Source organism: Homo sapiens, chromosome 3, assembly GCF_000001405.40.
Source record: "Homo sapiens chromosome 3, GRCh38.p14 Primary Assembly".
NCBI lineage: Eukaryota > Metazoa > Chordata > Mammalia > Primates > Hominidae > Homo > Homo sapiens.
Window position 1 is genome coordinate 2,360,354 of NC_000003.12, and position 23,866 is coordinate 2,384,219.

Below are 23,866 nucleotides of genomic sequence, written 5' to 3' on the forward strand. Positions count from 1 at the left end.
CTTTTGCTCCCCCCACCCCTTAAACAATTCTATTTCATCTTTCAGTGAACTGGAAATACTGAAAAAATATAATTTTGTCCGTATTTCAGTCTTCTATAATATGTTTGCCCAATGAAATATGAACACAATATTGCATAATACTGAAAACTGGCTGTATTAGTCCATTTTCATGCTGCTATAAAGAACTTCCCGAGACTGGGTAATTTATAAAGGAAAGAGGCTTAATTAACTCACAGTTCAACATGGCTGGGGAGGCCTCAGGAAACTTAAAATCATGCAGGTAGGCTAAGGGGAAGCAAGGAACCTTCTTCACAGGGAAGCAGGAAGGAGAATTCCCAAGTAAAGGGGGAAGAGCCCCTTATAAAACCATTAGATCTCGTGAGAACTCTCTCACTATCCGGAGAACAGCATGGGGAAAACCACCCCCATGATTCAGCTACCTTCACCTGGTCTCTCCCATGACACATGGGGATTATGGGGATTACAATTCAAGATGAGATTTAGGTGGGGACACAAATCCTTACCATATCACTGGGATTTAAAAAATTTGTAAATGCTCATCATTTACCTGTCTGAAAGAGTGGTGTGGGGTTCAGGATTTCCTCTAGCGTAATGAGTCAGAATACTGATTGTTATAAATGTTCACTGTGGCTCTTTTGTGGGTATTGCACAATGTATTGTTGCTTTTCTTAAGCAGTTCATAAAGTAAGTAAGGAAGTGACTTGTATCATGGTCATGATATAAATTGTATTAGACAATACATGATGAGATGCTCAATTCTTAAAGGAGGAGAGATTCTTCTTTAATCTTAATAGCATTTTCTCTGTATCTCCTTCCTAGAACATAAGTTAACGTGTGTACCTGTATTAACCTCACCCACCTTGGTTTGCAACTCACTGAGCACAAGGAATATTTGTATTAATACAGTTGTTCTAACTCAGTGCTTTTCAACCAGGGGCAATTTTGTCCCTCAGGAGATACTTGGTAGTGTCTGGAGACATTTTTAGTTGTCAACACTGGAGGATAGGTGCTATTTTGTAACCAGTGGGTAGCTGCCAGGTATCCTGCTAAGCATCCCACAATGCAGAAGATGGCCTGTACAAGAAAGAATCATCTGGCCAAAGATGTCAAGTGTCAAGGTTGAGAAACCCTGCTCTGTACTATACCCTGGGGTCATTCTGTGACTTTGGCATTGTTAGCTCATACATTCAGCCCACACTAAAAAGGAGAAATTGATCACCTAATGTGTTTATCCAACTGTATTGGAATAAGAGCTGAGTTATTAGGCTGGAAATTACATGTTCTGCTGCTATAAAAAAATTTTACTTTTATAAAATAAAAATATTTTCTACCTAAAAAAGCTGAAGAAATAACTTCTCTTGTACTATTGTGTGGCCGTAGCATTAGTGACTTCATTCAGTGTGTAGACATTGAGCAGTGAGCTTATTGATAGGCCCTGCGAATCTGTGAGGGAGCAGGATAGACACATTGTTCTCATTAGCTCTCTAATTCCACAGGATCTGAGACAGATGTGAAACAAATAATTACTTAAATACATATTAAAATTTTAATATAGATACATGATTTATGGTCAGCAGAAACACAGAAACTATAGAAAGACCTGAGTTGGAGGGGTCTAGGAAAAGTTCCATTTAAGTAGAAAAAAGGAGGTGTAAGAGTTGACCAGGTTGATTAAGCATTCCAGGGAGTGGGACCAGCATAGGCATGAACTTGGTGCATTCAAAAAACTGTAAGGAACCAAGTATGACTAAGTGCAGCAGTTAAGGAGAGTGGCTTGAGCATGAGGCAGGGCCCAGATCTATCAGGGGTCCCTATATTCCATGTAAAGGATTTCTAACTTTATTCTAACAACAAGAGAAGGAGTTTATCCCAGCTCTGGCAAGATGGTGGTGGCCGTGGTGCTGGCAGCTGGGTTGTGCCCTCTGCAGAGCCATGGCGGCCCCAGGGCTGCGCGGCACACATCTGAGGAGCTGTAGGTGTGACTGGTGGGAATGAAATGACCAAGGCCCAGCGGGCAATTCCTGGGGGTGTAGCCCCAACCATCTTCTGTGGGATCCTGGACCATCGCCTCCCAGCCTACATCCTATATGAGGACTAGCAGTGTCTTGTGTTCCCTGAGGTGGCTCCATAGGCTCCTGTGCACTTTCTGGTCATTCCTAAGAAGCCCATTCCTCGGATTAACCAGGCTGAAGAAGAAGACAGCAGCTTCTTGGACACCTACTCCTTGTGTGTAAGAAGATAGCAAGGGCTGAGGGCCTAGGAGATGGATACCAACTTGAGATCAATGATGAGAAGCTGGGTGAACAATCCGTAAATGACCTGCACATTCACTTACTTGGGAGCTGACAGCTCCAGTGGCCTCCAGCTTTAACCTCTGAACTGACCAAGGACCCTAGACCTGGGTGCTTGGATGGGAAAGAGAAAAAGGGAAGCTGTGATGTTAATAAAACTGCTCTCTCCCAAAAAACAATCAATCAGTCAATACATACATAAATAATGAAAACAGGGGAAGACTTTTAGGGAGAACAACTATTATAAGATTCTCACATAAAGCCTAAATAAAGCAATTGAAGAACATTACAGACTGTTTTTTTTCCTTTTTCTTTATATTTTCTTATTTTTCATGTATCTGCTGAGACAATGTTCCAGGTTTCTACAGGAGGATCTTATGATCCATTAATTGGATTGAATTATTGTAGGTATCTATATCTGAACCAGTCAAAGCCTGGCTGATTCTCTTATGTGGTAAAATGTCAAAGTATCTTCATACTGCACCTCTCCATTAGTAAGCCATGTTTTTAGCACCTTGTGGTAAAATATTTTTCAGTGTTACTAAAGAAAATAAACTAGTATTTTTCAAATGTCTCCTATGTAATGGGAGGGAAGTAACATTCATTGGTTGTTTACCAAGTGCTAGGACTAGGCTAAGCCTGTCACCTCTCTTCTTCCTCTAAAGCAGGTGTTTTGTTTTTCATAAAGATTAGAAAACCAGGTCTCAGAAGTTCTAAAATGCCCTAGTAGGTTAAGACTACAATTAGTAATTGGTAAACATGCTGTTAGAACTAATCTTTCTGACTCCCAAGACTGCAACTTTTCTCTCTGCAACATGGAGGAGCTAGGTCATTTATATGTCTCATTTTTAAGCTATATAACAACCATGTGAGGTAGACATTATTATTCACATATTTTATATGTGTAGAATCTCTATCTAGGGTGTCTCAGTTAGTAATTCCTGGGAGCTGCAGTTTAGATCCAGATTTACCTGACTCTGGAAACTCTTTTCTTTTCACTGCACTCTGATACTGTCTACAAAAATTACCAAAGTCTAACATCTTTCCTCCTTTTATAGACTTTCACGAAGATAGAGAATAACTGGTCAGCATCCTCTTCAAAGTGGCTTTCTGTATAATTTAAAGTAATCTTCAAGGTGGTATTGATAGCAAGCTTCATAAAGCATGGACTGTAGTAATTCTGCCAAAGACTGAAACAATAAATAGTAAGGTAACATATAATCTATAGCTTTAATGTAGGTGATTTCCTACAAATAGAAAATAAATAATGCCTATTGCATATTTCCAGTTATATGATCTCTTCTTAACAATCATTGGAGAATAGAATATTTATAACAGACTAGGCAACTTTATGTTTCACCCATCTGAGAGCTAGAGCTTTGCCTGGATATAGTGCTATAATATTTCAATATGACTCCTTAACCTTGTCTAGTTGGGGGCTTGGTTTGGGGGTGGGCAACGTGGTATATTTCAATTAAATTAACTTTGGAAATCATACAGTGCTAGATTTGAACTCTACTGCTGAAACCAGCTGGCAGTACAACTTTAACCCTCTGATTCGCTGAGACATTTTTTATTAAATGGAAATAATATTTATCTCAGAGTTGTTGTCTCGATATTTATAAGGTGCCTAGCAGAGTATTAGATAGAAATTCATTAAATTGGAAAGTTCCAACATAGTCATCATCATAGTTGCTGCCCTTGCTGTTTTTATTCTATTTTGTTGTTAATCTTTCTATTTCCAAGGACCCCTAAGGGTTGGCACAGCAGGGAGAAAGGGGTCCTACTGGAATCTTTGGAAGTGTTGACAATAGAATTTCCTTTAAAAAACCTCTCAAATGTTAGCTGAGGTTAGATCATTTCAAAAGAACCTTCTGGCATTTGTTGACAATAGAGCCATTCTAGATCTCTTTTAATCTAGTTGAGTCCCCGGAGAACAGTTAAATAGTTATAGTGCAGGCCTTGCGCATGAAGCAAATAAAGTCAATGGATACTTTATTGCACTGAGTTGGGAAATTACAAGTAAAAGGAAAAAAATTATATCAAATGTGGCCCAATGAATCTAGTTTCCTGGTAATTGAAAGCACTTGTTAGTGATTCCAACAAAGTTAAGGGAAAACATTCTATTGTTAAAAAGAGACACCTCTCTATGGTGAATCTAGGCCATTGCCATGACAATATCAAGTCTTGTCATTTCTTTATTTTACTTTTTGTTCTCTCTGAAATATGCTGTTTTCATAGTCCACAAGATAATATTAATAATAGTGCGATTTGGCTTTGTATTGGAGACATTTTTCAAAGCATTTATTTATCCGTTGGGGATAAGGAAGTTACAATACAATACTTGATATTTCGTGTGTATTTCACCTGGTAACTTAAGTACGTTTCTAAATTTTCAATTTTGGAAACTCCTATGGTTGTTCTTTGGTTTAATTTTTTTTTTATGATGACAGAAAAGACTGTAATGTGATTTGAAGCCCTTGTAACGAGTACAGGTAATAATGTATCCAGGATCTCTTTTCTTCTCCTCAATGCCAAGTTACCTTACTTGGTTCAGCCTGACAGTTTCTTTCATCTGCACTCCCTGCGTAGTTCCTACGTTTAACCTGCCTGAAACACAGCTCCTCTTGGTCCCTCATGTGGGCAAAAGTCAGCCCCATTCTCTGGAGTAATGAGTTTGATCTTGACATTCAGCATGCTTCATGATTTGTCCTCAACTTGACTTTCTAATTTCTGAATGAACATGTTTCCCATTACTTTCCAGGCCCAGTCAAATTAATCTTAATGATGTTGAATTACATTGAACACAAATTTATCTTTTCAAACTCTGTTCTACACAGTTAATAATAAAGGAACAAGGAATTGGGGGAAATGCAAAGAGAGAAAAAGTGGGAGAAAGAGACAATAGAATGTACATATATTTCTATCTTACGTTCTGCTGGTGATGCTTCTTGCCAAAGTGAGGCTGAGATGAGATGTGAGATTCCCTTCTCCAAGTTGCCATCTGCCTCTTTTGTGTGAATATCTTGCAATTCTCAGTGTGATTCTTGAGTTTAAATAAAAAAATATATATATACCATGTTGTCCCTAAATACAGGTCAAAAGTCATCCACATATAGTGCTGAGTTTAAAAACAGTGACCTATTTCAATGCTAGGAAAAAACAAAACGTAAACACAAAACACAGAAGTCTGTCTATGTTGGGTTTGATGAAAAGAGGGTAAAATGTTTTATTTTTGTTTTCGGTTCTGCCTCAAATACGGTTTTCCTAGTCTACAAAATTATATTAACAGTGGAGCAATTTAACTTTGCATTGTAGACATTTTTCAAAGCATTTATTTATCCTTTGGGGGTGAGGAAGTTACAATACAATATTTTATCCATACCCAACATGGCAACTCCATAATGAATTTGGGTAATTTTATTACATGATATTTTCAGCTTGTTCTTTGAACCTTAGCTCTCAATTATACTACTTTCTCTACTGGCAGCCTATCAATGTTTGGAAAGCCTCTTCATTTCTTGGTTATTTCAGTTTCCAAAAAGTGAATTTATACAGGTAGAAAAAAGTACATTTTCACGTTTTAATTAACTGAGAATCCAGGAAACTAAATTCATCAAATAATGTTGTCAATTTCATATAAGTAAAGTCTTTTTATAAGTCATCCACAAAATTTTAAACATCAGGACCTAAATTCTGGGATTCTGATTAAAAACTTATGCCCATTTCATTCATGATAATACTTTTCTAATTACAATTTTCCTCTTTGTTAAAAAATAAGGCTGGACGCAGTGGCTCACACCTGTAATCCCAGCACTTTGGGAGGCCGAGGTGGGCGGATCATGAGGTCAGGAGATCGAGACCATCCTGGCTAACATGGTGAAACCCTGTCTCCACTAAAAATACAAAAAATTAGCCAGGCATGGTGGCGGGCGCCTGTAGTCCCAGCTACTCGGGAAACTGAGGCAGGAGAATCACTTGAACCCGGGAGGCGGAGCTTGCAGTGAGCCGAGATTGCACCACTGCGCTCCAGCCTGGGTGACAAAGCGAGACTCTGTCTCAAAAAAAAAAAAATAATAATAGTAATAATAATAATAAATAAATAAATAAAAGGGAGTGGAAAAAAATCTACCAAACCTTGGATTCAAAGTCCATTTCTTTCAGAGATTTTATTGTAAGCATTATCTTATTGACTATGTTCACATAACTTTTAAGAGCTAAAAGAATACCACGTTTAATATGTTGCACTCTAACAATTTTAACTAAAAATATTCATGCTTAGTTACAGTGTGTAGAAACCCAAAATATTAAGGATATATGTACTTTGTGGGATGATCCTCTGATTTAATATATGTGGTCTCTTGAATCTCCCTATATTGAACCTTCATTTTCTAATATTTATTGTGCAGTTCTCTCTCTGTGGTGTGTGTATGTGTGTGTATGAGTACAGAAATGGTATATAATAAAAAGCAGTTTCTAGCATAAACAACAAAATGAATAAACTACACAAAATTACAGAAAAAACACTAATCTACAGAAGAAAAAAATGCTGGACCTCTAAAAGTGAACTATTTATTATTCTTGAGAAAAGCTTATCAAATGAGACTTGCAATATATATAAGTTGCTTTTCCAGATTTTATTTTAAAAATACAAAGGCAAATTACTAGTGCTGTATTTGTAAGATTAAACTGCCCACTCCCCAATCAGATTTTTGGATTATTTACATGAAACGAAAAACACAAACCACCCTTGAAAATACGAAAATCTTAATTATAGTTACGGTGTACAGTGGATAAGTGAAGTTAGAATATCTTTCTACTGATGGAAAAATGTCACTTGGCTTTGAGATGAGTCTTTTTTTTATTTTTATTTTTTGAGACAGAGTTTTGCTCTTGTTGCCCAGGCTAGAGTGCAATGGCACAATCTCAGCTCACTGCAACCTCCTCCTCCTGGATTCAAGGTACATACCACCACACCCGGCTAATTTTTGTAATTTTAGTAGAGACAGGGGTTTCACCATGTTGACCAGGCTGGTCTCGAACTCCTGACCTCAGGCAATCCACCTGCCTGGGCCTCCCAAAGTGCTGGGATTACAGGCGTGAGCCATTGCACCTAGCATCTTTTTAACACAGGGAGAGAATCCATTGAAACTTTTTTTTCTCTGTAACCCCTAACAACGTTCGGACTATTTCAGCCTTTAACCATTTGGCCCTACTGAGTGTCATTAGATTGGCCTCAGGATCCGTAAGTACTATTATTTTTCTCTTGAGCTTACCTCTACATTTATTTAAGCATGAACCTTCTCAGTGGTTCACTATAGCTTTACAATTCAGCACTTTATCCAAATACAGCTAGAAAACTTCTTTTTTTTTTTTTTTTTTTTTGAGGTGGAGTGTCGCTCTGTCGCCCAGGCTGGAGTGCAGTGGCGCGATCTCGGCTCACTGCAAGCTCTGCCTCCTGGGTTCATGCCATTCTCCTGCCTCAGCCTCCCGAGTAGCTGGGACTACAGGGCCCGCCACCACGCCCAGCTAATTTTTTTGTATTTTTAATAGAGACGGGGTTTCACCATGTTAGCCAGGATGGTCTCGATCTCCTGACCTCATGATCCGCCCGCCTCGGCCTCCCAAAGTGCTGGGATTACAGGCGTGAGCCACAGAGCCTGGCCTCTTTTTTTGTTTTAACCTCTCATTTCGAGGCTTCTGTTTGATCTGTGTTTTAGTTAGTCTGAGTTTATATGTGGCTGTGTCTAGCCATTTACGTAGGTCAATTGGACTCAAAACCCATCTTTCACTTGAACCTGCCTTTCTTTACCTATCCTATGTGCAAGTTCTCTTGCTATTTATTTTGACACCCCACAAATTTATCGAGGTTAATAGACTACTAATTCCAAAGCATTTCTAAATCAGATTGAGTCTATTCTCTCAGATCTGTGAATACCTATTAGGGATGGTATTTGAGATAAAAATATGAATAAACCGTACCCTTCACATTTTCTTAAATAATAAAAAAAAACTGAACAGAAGTGCAAGACTATAAAATCTCTGACTGCATTAGGAGATCATTATTGCAGTGTTCAAGTGTATGGTTATGACTACAAAGCAAGAAAATAAGTTTTCTTCTCTGGTTAACTTACAGCCACATCTCAAGCATTATAAAGAAGTGAAGAGGGAAATGATAACGTAAAATTGGATGGTGAATTAAACTTTCATTGTGTGTTGAGCTCATCCTAAGACTAAAGCACAGAAACATGTCCATAAAAATTGTGATTGTTTTTTTGAGATGGAGTCTCACTCTGTTGCCCAGGTTGGAGTGCAGTGGCAAGATCTCGGCTCCCTGCAACCTCCGCCTCCCAGGTTCAAGTGATTCTCCTGCCTCAGCTCCCGAGTAGCTGGGATTACAGGCACCTGCCACCATGCCCGGCTATTTTTTTCTATTTTTAGTAGAGACACAGTTTAACCATGTTGGCCAGGCTGGTCTCGAACTCCTGACCTCGTGATCTGCTCACCTCAACCTCCCAAAGTGCTGGGATTACAGGCGTGAGCCACCACACCTGGCCCCAAAATTGTGATTTTTATTGGTTATAAGACCTAGGCATTGTCCCTGTTTTTGAGTTTTGGAAAGCTAACATTTTAAACTCCTGTTCACAAAACAGGTGAGAGTAGGACTTTCCCCTCTCACTGTGCTAATCATATTACTATCGTTGGTCTTGTATCAATTTTTAAAACATCATAGCCATTATTATTTTGCAGTCTGTATTATTTCTTCTAAGTATTAAATGACAGATATTGATATGAAGAGCAAGAGGCTCTCCAAGGAAGCCTCATCTGTACAAAGATTAGCAAGAGGTTGCAGCAATTATGAAAGTTGCCAGAAATCACAAATGTTCCTAATTTTAGGGAGAATAGGATGCCCCCCATCACACATAATGGCTTTATCATCAGGATTTGAGCCCATGCAGCAGAATATCCAGGTTCTCTTAGAAACCAGATGCTTCCTTCCTCCTGCTTGGAAATTGGAAATATATTTACATCTTCAAGAATGCGCGAGGTTCTTCTCTGAAGCAGAGCCCTGCATTGCATCTAATTGTAGAAATTACAAAACTTGTCAGAAAGTTAAAAAAAATAAAAGAAATAGTAACAGTTGCATTGATTTAGAACCAGCTGCCTTTCTTTTATCCACCCTGATAGAGTAGTGCTTTAATTATTTCTCCTAACTAAAATGATACTTCCCTCTTGAGAATGTCTGGGCCTGTTTATACTGTCACCATCGTTTTGATACACAATTGTCCATATTGATACTCTGTTTTTACCATTAATTTTCCAAAGAGCCTCTGAACTCATTGATAGTGCCGGAACACAGCCTTGCCAACACAGTGCCCAGCCCTGGTAAACTGAGTCCCGACACCACTTTTAGTTCCAAAATTTGGGGAAAAAATATTATTTTGCTTTCACATTCTCTCTGCTCTCTTTAATACACACAACTGAATTCACAGCCTGAGGCCAGCAGAGAGCTTAGTTATCCACATCTAAAGGCCCCATGTCACAAAATTTATCTCTGATATTTAATATCTTTGAAAGCACTTAATACAAGCCCAGTGTTAGCTATTCTGTAGTATGCCTGAATCCATTAAAATGAAAAAAACCTCAGTAATGATATTATGTTGAAGAGAAATGTTTTATAACTGTCATACTTTGGTTTTCCTGAAATCATAAAATGGTCATGAAAATGATTTACAAAAAAACTGGGTTAGAGTGTACCAGAGTACCATAGTCAAGTATAATGACATCCAAAAGAATGAAATGAGCATGGATAGAGGAGGGAGAGGTGACAGAGTAATGAATTGCCCCCTACTGATTTTGTTCCTGTTTGATCTGACAACATTGGAATGACAGCTGCTGAATGAGACAATTTGATTCAAATGATTTGCATATTTTTCACCAGAAAAAGTGGTTTGTAGTTTATGGAATGAGTCCCTTATTCTAAATATGGTGCTAATTTCAAGTACAGGTATCCTCTGATATTTTGTGTAAGTGAATGTGTTACTTATTGTTAACCAGTATTGATGAATTTTTATTATAGATCCAAAAAATGATATAATTTTAGAGATTTATCCCAATTTCTATCAACCAGAAGGTGAATATATACCAGTTTTCCAAATTACATGGTGCATCCCCCCACCTCCCTCTTTTGGTGGAAGATTAGGCATGCAGTTTTTAAGACCCAATCAATCTATTGATAGTGTTAAGTTTCACTATCCTCCACCTGAAAAGCGTGATTTAAAAGCACCAAACTAAGTATAGCAAAGTTCTTGCATTGCTTGGCAATTTCATAATTTCAGGTTTATATCGAGTGAGAATTACAATGTGAAGGTCTTTACTTGTTTTGGGCTATAATTTGAGATGGAAGTGGGAGAATGTGTAGAATGGTTGCTGATCATATATCCCAGATGCTGCATTTGTGGGAGAATGGATTGATACCCAGAGGTTCCTTCTAACATAGTTCATCAAGCCAGCCAGAAATTTAAGTTAACCTTGATATCCCCTGAGGTTAGGTTCCCACTGCACTTGGAGTAAAGACTAGCATTCTTTTTGTGGCTCATACATGCCACTGTGCCATTCAACTCTTTCTTTTGTAGCACTTATTCAAGGTACTTACTGCCTTTTTAAAGTTTGCTCATCTGTCACCTTTCAATACAATTTACCTTTAACACCCTATTTAAAATTACAAACCCCAACCCCAATGCTCTGGCTAACTTTTGCCCTTCACTTTTTCCTTTTTTCCTCTAGCATTTATCCTTGCATCTGTCTGTCTCAGCATCTTGGAATATGATCTCAAAGAGCACCCGATTTTGTCCGTATCGTTCAAAGATGTAACTCAAATGTTTATAATAGTGCTTTGTACATAGTAGGTTCTCAGTATAACATTTGTTGAATGAGTGGTTGTTTTTGTATTTCTTTTATTATTTAATTTTTGTTCCTCCGCTAGATTCGTGTTCAGGATTATATCCCCAGTGCCTTTCACTTATTTTTCATGTAACATATATTTTTGAATGAATGAATGAATCAAGAAAAAGGTTCTGGAATAATTTTAATATTTACCTGTCTGTTAAAATATTCTCACTAGACCTGTTAGAAACTCAAAGCTAAATTGAAGCTGATGTGATTTCTATTCACTAATTTCCTCTGGCAGGCAGTGATTGGGAAACATGGTAAATAATCAGCGCATGTAGTTGTGCTGTTTAAAATACAGCAGTTGGCCAAGTTCTGTAAGTATACAAATATATTTTCAGTAGATGAGTTAAAACCAGCATCTGATTACTTTGTGCTGTTTGGCTTAAATAGAAACAATTTCATCTCATTTAAATAAACAATCATCATATTTTTCATATAAATGATGATATAAGCTCTGGTAATAAGGGCTTATGTTATTGCTTAGAATAGGAAAGTTGCATAAATGTGATCACTCTCAAAATAATCTTTTGTTACATCCTGGGGAGGGGGTAATGACAAGCACTTGCAGTAGCTCTATTTATTTATTTATTCATTTTTATTGAGGACATATGCTTCAGAGGCTTAAAACTTAAAAGATTGAAGCAGTATTATAAAGGAGACATAAATGGCTTTTAATGCTTGCTGAAAGCAGATAAACTTAAAGACTTATGAACATCGTGGCTAGGAATATGTGATAGAATGTAGAATCCAAAGGGCAATAAAATATAAATATGTTTCTAATTTGTGTATTCTTCCTTGTTTACCATAGGATGTGACACATTCAGTGCTACAAGCTGACTGTCTATGTCCATATGGGAAGTATACACATTGTTCTAAAACTATAAATCAGGGACATAGTTGAAATTTGACACCAGGTTCCAATCCCTAATGTCCTCTGAAAAATGTGAGTTTATAAAGGAAAGCAATGTTTCCAAGTAAATTCATTGTCTTTTGGGGCTGGCTAGCTGGCTTTTAGAGCCTGACAGGAATGTTTTTATTTCTTCAGCTCTAGAAAAGGAAAAGAGGAAGGAGGCAGTAGAAAAACCAATTGAGTGAGAGTCAGAAGATGTGGGATCTAGTGGTAGGTGGGCTGTAATAAATTGTTTGACTTAGGCCAGGTGTGGTGGCTCACACCTATAATTTCGGCACTTTGGGAGGCTGAGGTGGGCGGATCACTGGAGGCCAGTTTGAGACCAGCCTGGCCAACATGGTGAAATCCCATCTCTACTAAAAATACAAAAATTAGCCAGGCATGGTGGCGTGCACCTGTAGTCCCGTTACTTGGGAGGCTGAGGCACAAGAATCACTTGAACCTGGGAGGCTGAGGTTGCAATGAGCCAAGATCTCACCACTGCACCCCATCCTGGGCAACACAGTAAGACTCTGTCTCAAAAATCATAATAAAATAAGATAAATAGATTGACCTGAAAAGGGCTTTGTTTCTAATCCCCCTGGGGTTCCCAAAACTTTTTAAGGTAGGGAAGAAAACTGGGGTTAGACCAATTAATCTCAAAGTTTCATCCAGTAATTACAGATTCAGTGATGACTGTTGTTCTTTAGTTAACCTCAGAAAATCTGTGAGGTAGGCCCCACGTGGGTTAAGCACAGTTGCACTCCTTGGGCAGGAGGAGGTAGTGGCTGTTTAAAGACCTAGAGATTAATGAAATAATTACTCTGCCTGCACCTCTTTTCTCATCCCTAAAAGGGAGGACTGCTTTTCTGTACTTCCCAGGAATGCCGTGAATCGAGTACGTACAACTGTGTTGTTTTTGAACGCTGAAAGCCAAGGTAATAATTAGAAAGTGTGGATGTCACACTTATTTTATAAACACTCTTTAAATGGATACATGAGTTAGTGTTTGCTTGATGTTGCGAAGCAAGCTGCAGTTTTTGTCTACTCTTCACCCCACCTAAGAATCTAGTTTTCAGCATTAGGCAAATGCTTCTGGTACAAGCATGTATTAAAATTTAAAATCTGTTAATGGGTTTTAAGTAGGATCTTGATGTTTGGCAGAAGTATCAATAACATCGGCGCCTAAAATAAATATTAAGTTGTAATTTTAAAGCTTCTATTGTCATATTTGGACAGATAGATACTGTGCAGATACAGTATGTGGAAGCATTTTAAGGAATTTCAGTTCTAGAAAGGCTCTTTAAAGGTCAACCTAATTAAAGCAATGTTTTTGAGCCAGTACAAAGTAGATGCAATTATTGGAAATTCATTGCAACAGCACGGAATGGCATTTCACTTACAGTTTAAACTTTTTATGGTTAATTTAGAAAGCAAAAATCATCTTTTTTGGGGGGTTCCTGATCTCTGACTTAAATGACATTTTAATCAATAATAATGATTTCTTTGTTAGGATTAGGAGAACTTTTGTTCTCCGGGATACATGGCAGGAATATTTAGCAGCTCTATTTTAGAACCCCTAAAGAAGATGGTTCTTTTGTAATGCAAGTGCTGATCTAACTCAGTAAAGGAAATGGGCTTCTCACGTAGAAGGTGATATGCATGGACATTTATTTACCATTGTCTGTCCATAGATTGTGGAATGAATTGGCTTGTGTGGAAAATACAGAATGACCTATCCCTGGATCCCAGACAGAGTTTTGGATACTACAGGTTGTCTCTGCAAGGAAGGTTACCCAGCTCCCTTAAAATCATTCTATAGGAAGTTCCCCTCCATGCTTCTTCATGCAGTTTAACTCTAATACCTAAAAAGAAGAGTTGTTCTTTCCCCTTGATGTCACATCCTCTGTGTATATTAAGAGTTTAACTTAAAAATGTTACCCATTTCATTAGATTGCTTGAGTATGATCTGTAACTACCCCGTATACTTCACAGACTAGGTCCTCAGAAGTCCTCTGCATTTTCACATAAACTAAAAACCTCCAGTGGTGGTGTTCACTTGTCTATGTGTGAAGTAGGGACATCATGCATTCCTGATGGACCTCACTAATGTGGCAAGGCTTGTTTGAAAAAAAGAAGAAAAAAAGGCCATGCTTCTAATGAGAAATAATTATTGGAAGCAATAAAATATTTATATTCCATTCATTAAACACACTGACCACGAGGAAATTAAAAAGTATTGAATTCCAAAACTATCACAAATACAGAAAATATACATGAATGTTTAAATTTTCATTTAATGATGAAATGAAGATCACATTCTTCACCCTTAGCAATGCTAATCACGTGTCACTGGTTGAAATAGTGATCAAATAAATGAGAAAAAGATGAATGACTTTCCCAAAATGTTAGACCTATATTTAGATATAATTTACCATTTTGTACCATAACCTATTACTTATTTTAGCAAAGTCCCAATCCACTGATTATTGTCGCATTGTGTCATACTCTTCAAAAAAATGAAAAGTCCATCTGACAATATGATATCTTAGAAAGTCATTGTAAAAATCTGCTTCAGTCAAAAAAGGTTTTATGATTGCATATTAACTTTGAAATTAATCAACAAGTTGACAGTAGACAGTCTCTAGTGTCTCTAAATATATGGCATGTCTTTGCCATAAAATAGAAATTGCTACCTACAGATATTATCTGAGGCATTATTTTGCCTTGCGGAGGGTATCTGTTATGTTAGAGAAGTGATTTCTAAACAAACTTTGGCTTTGCCAAAGTGTCATGCTGTTTGTATTTTCTTTGGTATGTCACAAGTCATCCCAACATTTCCCTCTCATTTCTTTCTTTTTCTTTCTTCTTTTTCTCCCTAAAACTGAAGGAGATGGGTCATTTTGAAGATAGAAAAGATATTACGGTGGCCCTATTTTCTAAGGGACTTTCAATACTCCATAATATGACAGCCTAAGCTTCTCTAGCAGAAAAGGCCGCCTGGGTGCATCAGTTAAGTTACAGATCCTACTCTGCTTTCTCTGGCAATGGAGGAGGCAGGTGATTGCCTAAACACAAAGCTCCTGCCAATTTCTGAAAGGCACAGTGGCTGGAGCAAAAAGCAACTCATCTTCCCAGGGGCCTGCCCTATTCTGAACATCTCTAAACTAAAATGATTCTTCTTTTCTTTTTTCTTGATCAGTCTTCAGTCACTATTTTTATATCATGAAGTGTTACCGGGTTTATGTGCCTGTCCACATTTCATAAAGTTAGAGGACATATGGTAAAAATCTAAGAATAACATCATAAATCATCCATGCCTCTGAATTGCTTGAAAATGTTAAATGCCTTGGTTTTGGTCCAGATGTTCAACTTGCCCCTTTTATACCAGCCTGACATACATCAGTTGAAAGAAGAAAAAAAAAAAGAGAAAACCCTCTGCTGTTCTCTTTCAGCTTAATGGTTGATATATTTTTCTTTCTTCTCTGACTTTGCCATTTATTGAAGCATAGACGGGTGCCCTACCCTACATGAAAGCTATTTCCTACTGCTTGTGAAAGAAAAAAAATATGAAATAAACACTTACTATTCTGTTACAAGGTAACAATAGAGTGCTAATTGCTGAGTAAAGTCATGTAGCCCCAGGATTATGTTGAGGGACTCCACTATAAATTTGAAGACACCCATAATCCATGTATCAGGCAGAAAATGATTTGCTGTGCTGCACTTCTCCTTTAACAGTTTCTATCGAACTATTTAATTAAATGGAATAATAATTATTATTCCCTGATCCAAATTAGAACACTTTCTTGTTTAACGTTCCTAGTAAGTGCACAATAAATATTAATGTTAATGGTGATGATGATGGTGTTGATGTGTTTTATGGTAAGAACCAAGAATTATGGGAGCACAGAAGGTGGATGACTTTTCCCTTTTGGGCAGGAGCAGTCAGGAAAGAATTCACAGAGGCGGTAATATTTGAAGTGGTCTTTGAAGTATCAGTATTTCTATATCACTAGGTGATTCTTGAGATGAAGATAAGTGTTTTTGATGCATTAAGCACAGTCCACAGTTGCAGTTGTCACTGTTTTTAGGTCTTTCTACCTTGAGGATTTCCCAGTTCTCAATTTTCATGTTCTGTTTGTTTCTGTATAATTTTGTGGAGTTGGGCACTTGTATGTTAAAAAAAAAAAAAAAAAGGTCAGGTTAACATATAATATGCTCTGCTATTTCCACTTTTGATATTTGCTTTCTTCTCTCATGTTGGTTGTGTGCTGACCATGCACTGACTCATTATCTGTCAATGCTCAGTTCTTATACAGTGTTAAGGCACCAGCTGAATTAACACAAAAAGAAAATGACAGAGCTCAGCAGGGCGCGGTGGCTCACGCCTGTAATCCCAGCACTTTGGGAGACTGAGGCGGGTGGATCACGAAGTCAAAAGATCGAGACCATCCTGGCCAACATGGTGAAACTCCGTCTCTACTAAAAATACAAAAATTAGCCAGGCATAGTGGAGCACACCTGTAGTCCCAGCTACTTGGGAGGCTGAGGCAGGAGAATCACTTGAACCCGGGAGGCAGAGGTTGCAGTGAGCCGAGATTGCGCCACTGCACTGCAGCCTGGCGATAGAGCGAGATTCCATCTCAAGGAAAAAAAAAAAAAAAAGAAAATGACAGAGCTCTTTTCATTCCAAGTTTTTAGATACCATATCCAGTTGTTGTTGAACATGATGGCATTATTAGTGTTTTCAGTAGCTCCTCTCCCTAATAGGAAGGAAGCAAATGGGTTGCATTGAACTCTCTTTAATATGAGTGCTATCTTCAGCAGTGCTTCATTATACAAAGTATTAATAGAATGACTGGCCATGCCTGCAATCCTCAGTCATTTTCTCTAGCTTCCTCACCCACACACAGGTTGTTAAGTCACCAAGAGATGTGTTACTTCTGTGCTGTGCCCTGTGAAAGCTTTCCTCTCTAGAGATCTGGTATCTTCACAGGAAAGGTCAAATAGGTTTCATTGTCTTTGCACAGTATCACACTAATTTAAGATTTGAGTTTCTTTTAAAAAACACAGCTGTGAGAGAGAGAGAGCTCCTCTGAAGCTGAGACAGTAAAACTGAAGATACCCGGAATATTTATAACATATGTTTGCATAAAGCAAGCTTGTCCAACCTGTGACCTGTGGACCGCATGTGGCCAAGGATAGCTTTGAATGCAGCCCAGTATAAATTTGTAAACTTTCTTAAAACATGATTTTTTTGTGATTATTTTTTTTTAACCTCATCAGTTATTGTTAGTGTTAGTGTATTTTATGTGTGGCGCCAGACAATTCCTCTTCGTCCAGTGCGACCCAGGGAAGCCAAAAGATTGGACACTCCTGGATGAGGCATTTTTAAAAAGCAGATAAAATACCAATGTAAAGATTTATTTTTCCAAAAGAGTGGATTAAAAGAAAGACAAGTGCTAACAACTGTTGTTGTCACCTCATGGTTTTTTCAGTTGTCTGTATGAGATGGCATCGTTACTGACTCTTGCAATATTTGGAATAATATAAACTAAGTACCACAGTGTAGTTTGAGGCTTGAGTTCTATAAATACCCATTTCATTAATTTGGGGAGGAGAAATAGATGCGACAAATGGGCCCAACATACATTGGCTCAACAAAATAGAATTTATTTCTCAAGTTCATAAAAATCCTGGGTGGTTTCATGTGCGGGGGAAGGAGAGAGTCCTCTGATCCACAGTTATTCGGGGATGCAGGCACTGCTGTTTCAGTATGGGCCTTCCCAAATTCTGGACATCACCATTCCATTCCTCAGGATGGGGGAAAGAACCCATAGCAGCTTGTGAGAGGACAGTCCTGGCTGTGCTATACCTTATTTCCACTCACACTGGTTAGAAGTCAGTCCCATTGCGTTTTTTGGCCATGCACAGGGGACTGGGGAATATAGTCCAGCTTAGTGCCCTGGAAAACGGGAGAAAGTGGACCTTAATGGACAGGTAGCAATCTCTGCTACTCTCATTCATTTATTTTTTATTCAACATGTTTTGGAACAACCTATTTGTTAGAGACTGTGCTAGGTGCTTGGTTTATCATTTCATTAGCCCACTGGCCTCCCCGTAGTACTTCAGGGAAACAGCTAATTAATTTGTGTCTCTCATGAGATAAATGAGACTCCAGATCTAACTAAAACACATAGGAAACTTGACATTTCAAGCTTAGCTCCTTTTTTTTTTTGAAGAAGGATTACAAATAATCTGGTGGTAGCATTATTTTTTTTTCTCCCTTGTGAATCAGCCATAGGAAGAGGAGAATTTGTGTTGTCATTCTTATTTGTATTCTGTAAGAATGCTTCCCTTTACTACTGGTATTAGAGGAATGTAATACCAATACCAATATCACTATCAATTAGAGGATTATACCATAGTTTCATAATCTTTTCAATGTAAGGTAGTTTAATCAGTCACCATCCACACTTCAACAATTTTCCTTTTCATTGCCATGTAGGTTAAATGAAGTCAAATACAATGCTCGTGTCTCTTGTATTGCCCATTCATTGCCTAGCATGTTTACCTATACAATAGGCATATGATAGTCTTTTAAATATGGAATAACAACACAAGCAGCATAAAAGATTGAGACAGTTTTCTAATAATCACAACATATATCCCATTTTTTCTTTTATTTCACTTTTCTTTTTTTCTTTTCCTTTCCTTTTTTTGAATTTCTTTTTCCTGCCTACCTTTTTCCGTTTCCTTTTTTTTTCTTCTGTTTTTAAGCTTTACCCTGCAGATGGTTACCAATATGATTAAAATTCTTCAAGAAGCATGCAGATCTGCCTATTATAGAAGGGAAAACTATAAGGTTACAGATTCTGGGTACTGATCCCACTCTGGCCACTAACTTCTGATAGTACCTTGGATAGATAACTTTATTAATTGAGGTGGTTGACCTCAATATCCTAATGTAAAAGATGAAGATATTGCATCCGGAGTACCACAGGCCTCTTTTGTCTTTTTTATATAACTGCTATGTTAGTATAAATTGTTATTTATGAGCATTAGATGAGTATTTATAAAATATGTCAGGGATAGGAGATATCATTTGTTGTTAAAATCTTATTTTTGAAATTAGACTGCAAGAATTTGAATCTGTTGTCATGACTTTTTCAGGCTATTTGATCTTGGGAACATTATATAACCTCTCAAAGTGACAGTTTCCTCATTTGCTTAAACTACTGTGGGTTATAAGAATATCATCATGGCCGGGCGCGGTGGCTCACGCCTGTAATCCTAGCACTTTTGGAGGCCGAGGTGGGCGGATTATCTGAGGTGGGGAGTTCGAGACCAACCTGACAAACATGGAGAAACCCCATCTCTAGGAAAAATACAAAAAAATTAGCTGGGCATGGTGGCACATGCATGTAATCCCAGCTACTCGGGAGGCTGAGACCGGAGAATCGCTTGAACCCAGGAGATGGAGGTTGCGGTGAGCTGAGATCGCACCATTGCATTCCAGCTTGGTCAACAAGAGTGAAACTCCATCTCAAAAAAAAAAAAAAAAAATCATAGGGTTTTGGTGATAATTTAATTAGATACTGTGTCTCTTGGTATAAGCTCTCAATAACTTTGATCATCTGAAATAAAAATGTCATTCTCTTTCCTCTATCCATTGTGTTTTCACAGAAGTTAGGGAAAATGGGATGAGAATTTTCCAAAGCAGCCCTTCCTTTTTATGTAAAATTTAGATATTGGCAGCGTATCTCAGCCTCAATGGTAACATTAGGGTTTGCATCTCTGTTGTTAGTCCAGGAATCTGTTTTTCTCTTTTGATTCTTTAAGTCATTTGGATAAAATATTAAAGAGCACTAAGATCTGATGTTGTAGATTGGAAAGAGGAAATAGTTGAAGAACATGAAATGTGTCTATTTTACCTTTATATAGCTATGCAGAACAGGTGAGATTTGGTATGAATTTGAATAGTAACGATGCTTACCACTCTTGAAGGATATTTTGCAAATTTTAATTGGTTTATCTGAACACCACTTTTAGGGGCTAAGTAAATATTCCCACTTTACACTGAGTAGATCTAACAAAATGATCAGTTTACCCAGGTCATTTACTACATTGACTATTGCCAAATTCAGTATATCCAGATTGGACTTGCTGATCATGCATGCTTAGTGGGTTTCTTTTTTTTTTTTTCCATTCTTATCCTATTTTACATAAGAACGAATAACTTATTCTCTCTAGAGTTTGTAGCTTCATTTGCAAAAGGGGATGCCTAAGAGAGGAAAGAGCAAACTAGGTGTCTTTCTAGCTTCAAAGATTGTTATTTTGTGATTTCTGTATTAGTTGGTTTATAATTGACCAGATCAATTTGAATCATATGTGTTTTTCTATTTTCTGAATTCAACACTGTTATTTTCTATTGTCTTGAGTACTGATGTTTCCAAATTTTTAAACCTTTCCCTTCTTTTGTTTTGTTTTGTTTTTTTCTTCCTTTTTTTTTTGGAGACAGAGTCTTGGTCAGTCGCCCAGGCTGGAGTGCAGTGGCACAATCTCGGCTCACTGCAACCTCTGCCTTCTGGGTTCCCGCCATTCTCCTGCCTCAGCCTCCTGAGTAGCTGGGACTACAGGCGCCCGCCACCACACCCGGCTAATTTTTTTGTATTTTTAGTAGAGATGGGGTTTCACCATGTTAGCCAGGATGGTCTCGATCTCCTGACCTCGTGATCCACCCGCCTCGGCCTCCCAAAGTGCTGGGATTACAGGCGTGAGCCACTGCGCCTGGCCTTGTTTTGTTTTTTCTAGAGAGAAATGGGCCCCAATATTTGCCTTATAATACTTTGTACCTTGTCCTACATTTCCCCCTTAGAACAATGTACAGAACAGTCAACATGACAATCAGATCAAGTTTCACCTTCTGCACTTAGGTCTCTTACTTAGCTATCACTAGTCTGGAGGTGTTGGGAACATAACTTAAACTCTTTGAACTATAGTGTTCTGTAATGTGGCATTAATAAATCTGAAGTCAAAAGATATAAAATATGTAAAAGCGCTTAGGAGAATATCTGGCACATAATGCATGGTAGTTTTTCCCTTCTAAGTCTGTAGGTTAAGATGAATATTTGAAGACTTTCAAACTGATTTTCTTCCAATTAAAATATTTGTAAATGATGTATAAAAAGTCTCCATTCTTTAACAAAGGCTGTTAAAGGCTCTGGTACTGTTTTGATTATATAAATTAAAAAATTATGTATTTCTTATAAAATATTGCATATTTTAAAAATGTTTTTAGCTCATTGAAAATATTCAGAAAACATATATTTTAATATCTTAGCCAAGAATTTGAAATTTTTCTATGAAGGTGCAAGGTTCTAAGACCAAATTGTCTCTGTAGAGCTGTGTAAAATTAAAAAAATAAAATTTCGAACTGGCAAGAAAATGTATTGTTCTTCCCAAATCTTGAGACAAAGGCACAAACCCTGTTTCATTCACACACAAAAAATAATTTTGATTTGCTTAGGGACATAAGATTTATGGCTCTGTGATGTCTGCTAGAGATATGTTTAAAGTGGACCACTCTATACAGCTTTATATAAAAAACATGGTATACACCTTACTGAACATTCTTTTCTTACATTTTCTTCCTATCGTGATTTTTTTTTTTTTTTTGAGATGGAGTCTTGCTCTGTCACCCAGGCTGGAGTGCAGTGGCGCGATCTCAGCTCACTGCAACCTCTGCCCCCCGGGTTCAAGCGATTCTCCTGCCTCAGCCTCCCGAGTAGCTGGGATTACAGGCGCGCTGTAATTTTTGTACTTTTAGTAGAGACTGGGTTTCACCATCTTGGCCAGGCTGGTCTTGAACTCCTGACCTCATGATCCACCCGCCTCGGCCTCCCAAAGTGCTGGGATTGCAGGCATGAGCCACTGCGTCCGGCCCTATTGTGATTTGTTAGTCTGAGTTTAGATTACTTACACCAGGAGGCATTTTTTAGCCTAAATCTGTAATCAGTTAAACAGGAACACTTTCTAAAAAATTCTAGTTCCTAAAAGGCTTGACTTCTACTTTTATTCTGCTCATTTATGTGACTGGCTATTTGAGTTTGAATTACTGGTACATTAGGAACGAAAATAAGGAATGCTTCCTTTTGCTTCCAGATTAGACAATATACCCTGTTAGGTATGCCAGTGCTGTGAGTTAAACTGAGCTGTAAAGTACAGGAAGGGTAGCATTGTCTGACAGAACTGGAAAATGATGGATTAAAAGTAAGATAAAGGCCAGGCCTGGTGGCTCATGCCTGTAACCCCAGCACTTCGGGAGGCCGAGGCGGGCGGATCACCTGAGGTCAGGAGTTCGAGACCAGCCTGGCCAACATGGTGAAACCCCCATCTCTACTAAAAATACAAAAATTAGCTGGGCATGGTGGCAGGCGCCTGTAATTCCAGCTACTGGGGAGGCTGAGGCAGGAGAATTGCTTGAACTCGGGAGGCGGAGGTTGCAGTGAGCCGAGATTGTGCCACTGCACTCCAGCCTGGGTGACAACAGCGAAAATCCATCTCAAAAAAAAAAAAAAGTAAGATAAATAGCTTCATTGACAATTGAGGACCTTAATATGTCTGACATTAATTTTAAAAGTCCAAGGAGGCAATATATTATGTAGTATTTCCCAGACTTATATGAGCATATAACTTAACTCACAGAATAATGATAATCTTATCCAATTACCTATCCAGCATGTGAATCCTTTTTATAATACGCTTGCCTTATATTTATCCAACCTCTGTTTAAATATCTACAGTAATGAGTAACCATTTATAGTGATGATGATGATGATGAAAGTGAGAATGATAATGGCTAAGTAGTGCTTTCTTCCTTTATACTTTCTATGCACAGTTTTAACTGCCTTAATCTTCCCACAACCCTTTGAAGTACGTACTATTTATTTTTTCCATTTCACGGTTGAGAAAATTGAGGCCTGGAGGGATTAGGTAAATTGTCCCAGGTAACACAGCACAAATGGGTCTGGGTCCTAGGGAATCTTGTCAAGAATCCATAAATGTAACGACAGCACTATTTTCTCTCTCTCTCCTTCTGCTCCCTCTCCCTCTCTCCCCCTCTCCCTCTCCGCCACTCTCTCTTCCCCCATTTCCCTTTGCCTCCCTTCCTCTCCCTATCCTTCCCTTTCTTTCCCTCCCTCTCCTTCTTCTGTCTCTCCCTCTTCTCTCTTCTCCCTCTCCTCTCTTCTCCCTCTCCTCTCCCTTCCCTCTCCCTTTCTTTCCTCTCTTCTCCCTCTGTCTCCCTCTCCTCTCTCCCTATCTCACTCCATATATATATAAATTCTGTATACAGTTACTCCTTGACTTGTGTTCTAATAAACCCATTGTAAAGCCACAAAATTATAAGTCAAACCATTAAGTTGGAGACCTTCTGTGTATGTATATATCACAACCATTTGATACCTATGACTGACTGTAATAACTATAATTAAAAATGTATTCACATCTCTAATTCACCCTTGAAAAAATTATATTCTCTGAAGTTGGCTTTTCTGCTGGGAGAATAAGATTAGGGCCTACTTTATACGGTTGTTGGGTGAATCAAATAAGCTAATGAATTGAGCTTACAGCATGTAGCCGTGTGCATCATAAGGACTCAGTAACCTTTAATTGCTATCATTATTATTAACATCATTAATATGTTGTT

The 23,866-nt window shown here is 38.1% G+C and overlaps 1 protein-coding gene and 1 pseudogene across 31 annotated transcripts in view, besides 10 other annotated features; both read left to right on the plus strand.

Annotated features, from left to right (window-relative positions):
* Window positions 1–23,866, plus strand: part of CNTN4 (contactin 4) — a 959,094-nt gene that overhangs the window by 261,488 nt on the left and 673,740 nt on the right. The gene's annotated exons all lie outside the window — the stretch shown is intronic.
* On the plus strand, window positions 483–6,123 carry HINT2P1 (histidine triad nucleotide binding protein 2 pseudogene 1; annotated as a pseudogene).
* Window positions 20,286–23,866: part of a biological region, named in NCBI's record as "meiotic recombination hotspot T", that runs on past the window's edge.
* Window positions 20,286–23,866: part of a meiotic recombination region, noted in NCBI's record as "this region was identified as a recombination hotspot within the HapMap CEU population", that runs on past the window's edge. NCBI's record gives the evidence for it as "EXISTENCE:nucleotide sequencing assay evidence [ECO:0000219][PMID:20981099]".
* Window positions 20,338–23,866: part of a meiotic recombination region, noted in NCBI's record as "this region was identified as a recombination hotspot within the HapMap YRI population", that runs on past the window's edge. NCBI's record gives the evidence for it as "EXISTENCE:nucleotide sequencing assay evidence [ECO:0000219][PMID:20981099]".
* Window positions 20,752–20,767: a nucleotide motif, noted in NCBI's record as "nucleotide motif; similarity to the predicted 16-mer PRDM9 C-type binding motif, CCNCNNTNNNCNTNNC".
* Window positions 21,722–21,737: a nucleotide motif, noted in NCBI's record as "nucleotide motif; similarity to the predicted 16-mer PRDM9 C-type binding motif, CCNCNNTNNNCNTNNC".
* Window positions 23,267–23,282: a nucleotide motif, noted in NCBI's record as "nucleotide motif; similarity to the predicted 16-mer PRDM9 C-type binding motif, CCNCNNTNNNCNTNNC".
* Window positions 23,304–23,319: a nucleotide motif, noted in NCBI's record as "nucleotide motif; similarity to the predicted 16-mer PRDM9 C-type binding motif, CCNCNNTNNNCNTNNC".
* Window positions 23,452–23,467: a nucleotide motif, noted in NCBI's record as "nucleotide motif; similarity to the predicted 16-mer PRDM9 C-type binding motif, CCNCNNTNNNCNTNNC".
* Window positions 23,519–23,866: part of a meiotic recombination region, noted in NCBI's record as "meiotic double-strand break mapped by DNA meiotic recombinase 1 chromatin immunoprecipitation followed by single-stranded DNA enrichment and sequencing in the germ cells of some male individuals with the PRDM9 A/A, PRDM9 A/B and PRDM9 A/C genotypes", that runs on past the window's edge. NCBI's record gives the evidence for it as "EXISTENCE:chromatin immunoprecipitation-seq evidence [ECO:0000229][PMID:25395542]".
* Window positions 23,803–23,866: part of a meiotic recombination region, noted in NCBI's record as "crossovers mapped in sperm cells of males of European and African ancestries; recombination frequencies vary with PRDM9 genotypes, with PRDM9 A/A > PRDM9 A/N, where N is a non-PRDM9 A allele. Low recombination frequencies are observed with some PRDM9 alleles", that runs on past the window's edge. NCBI's record gives the evidence for it as "EXISTENCE:DNA detection assay evidence [ECO:0005519][PMID:20818382]".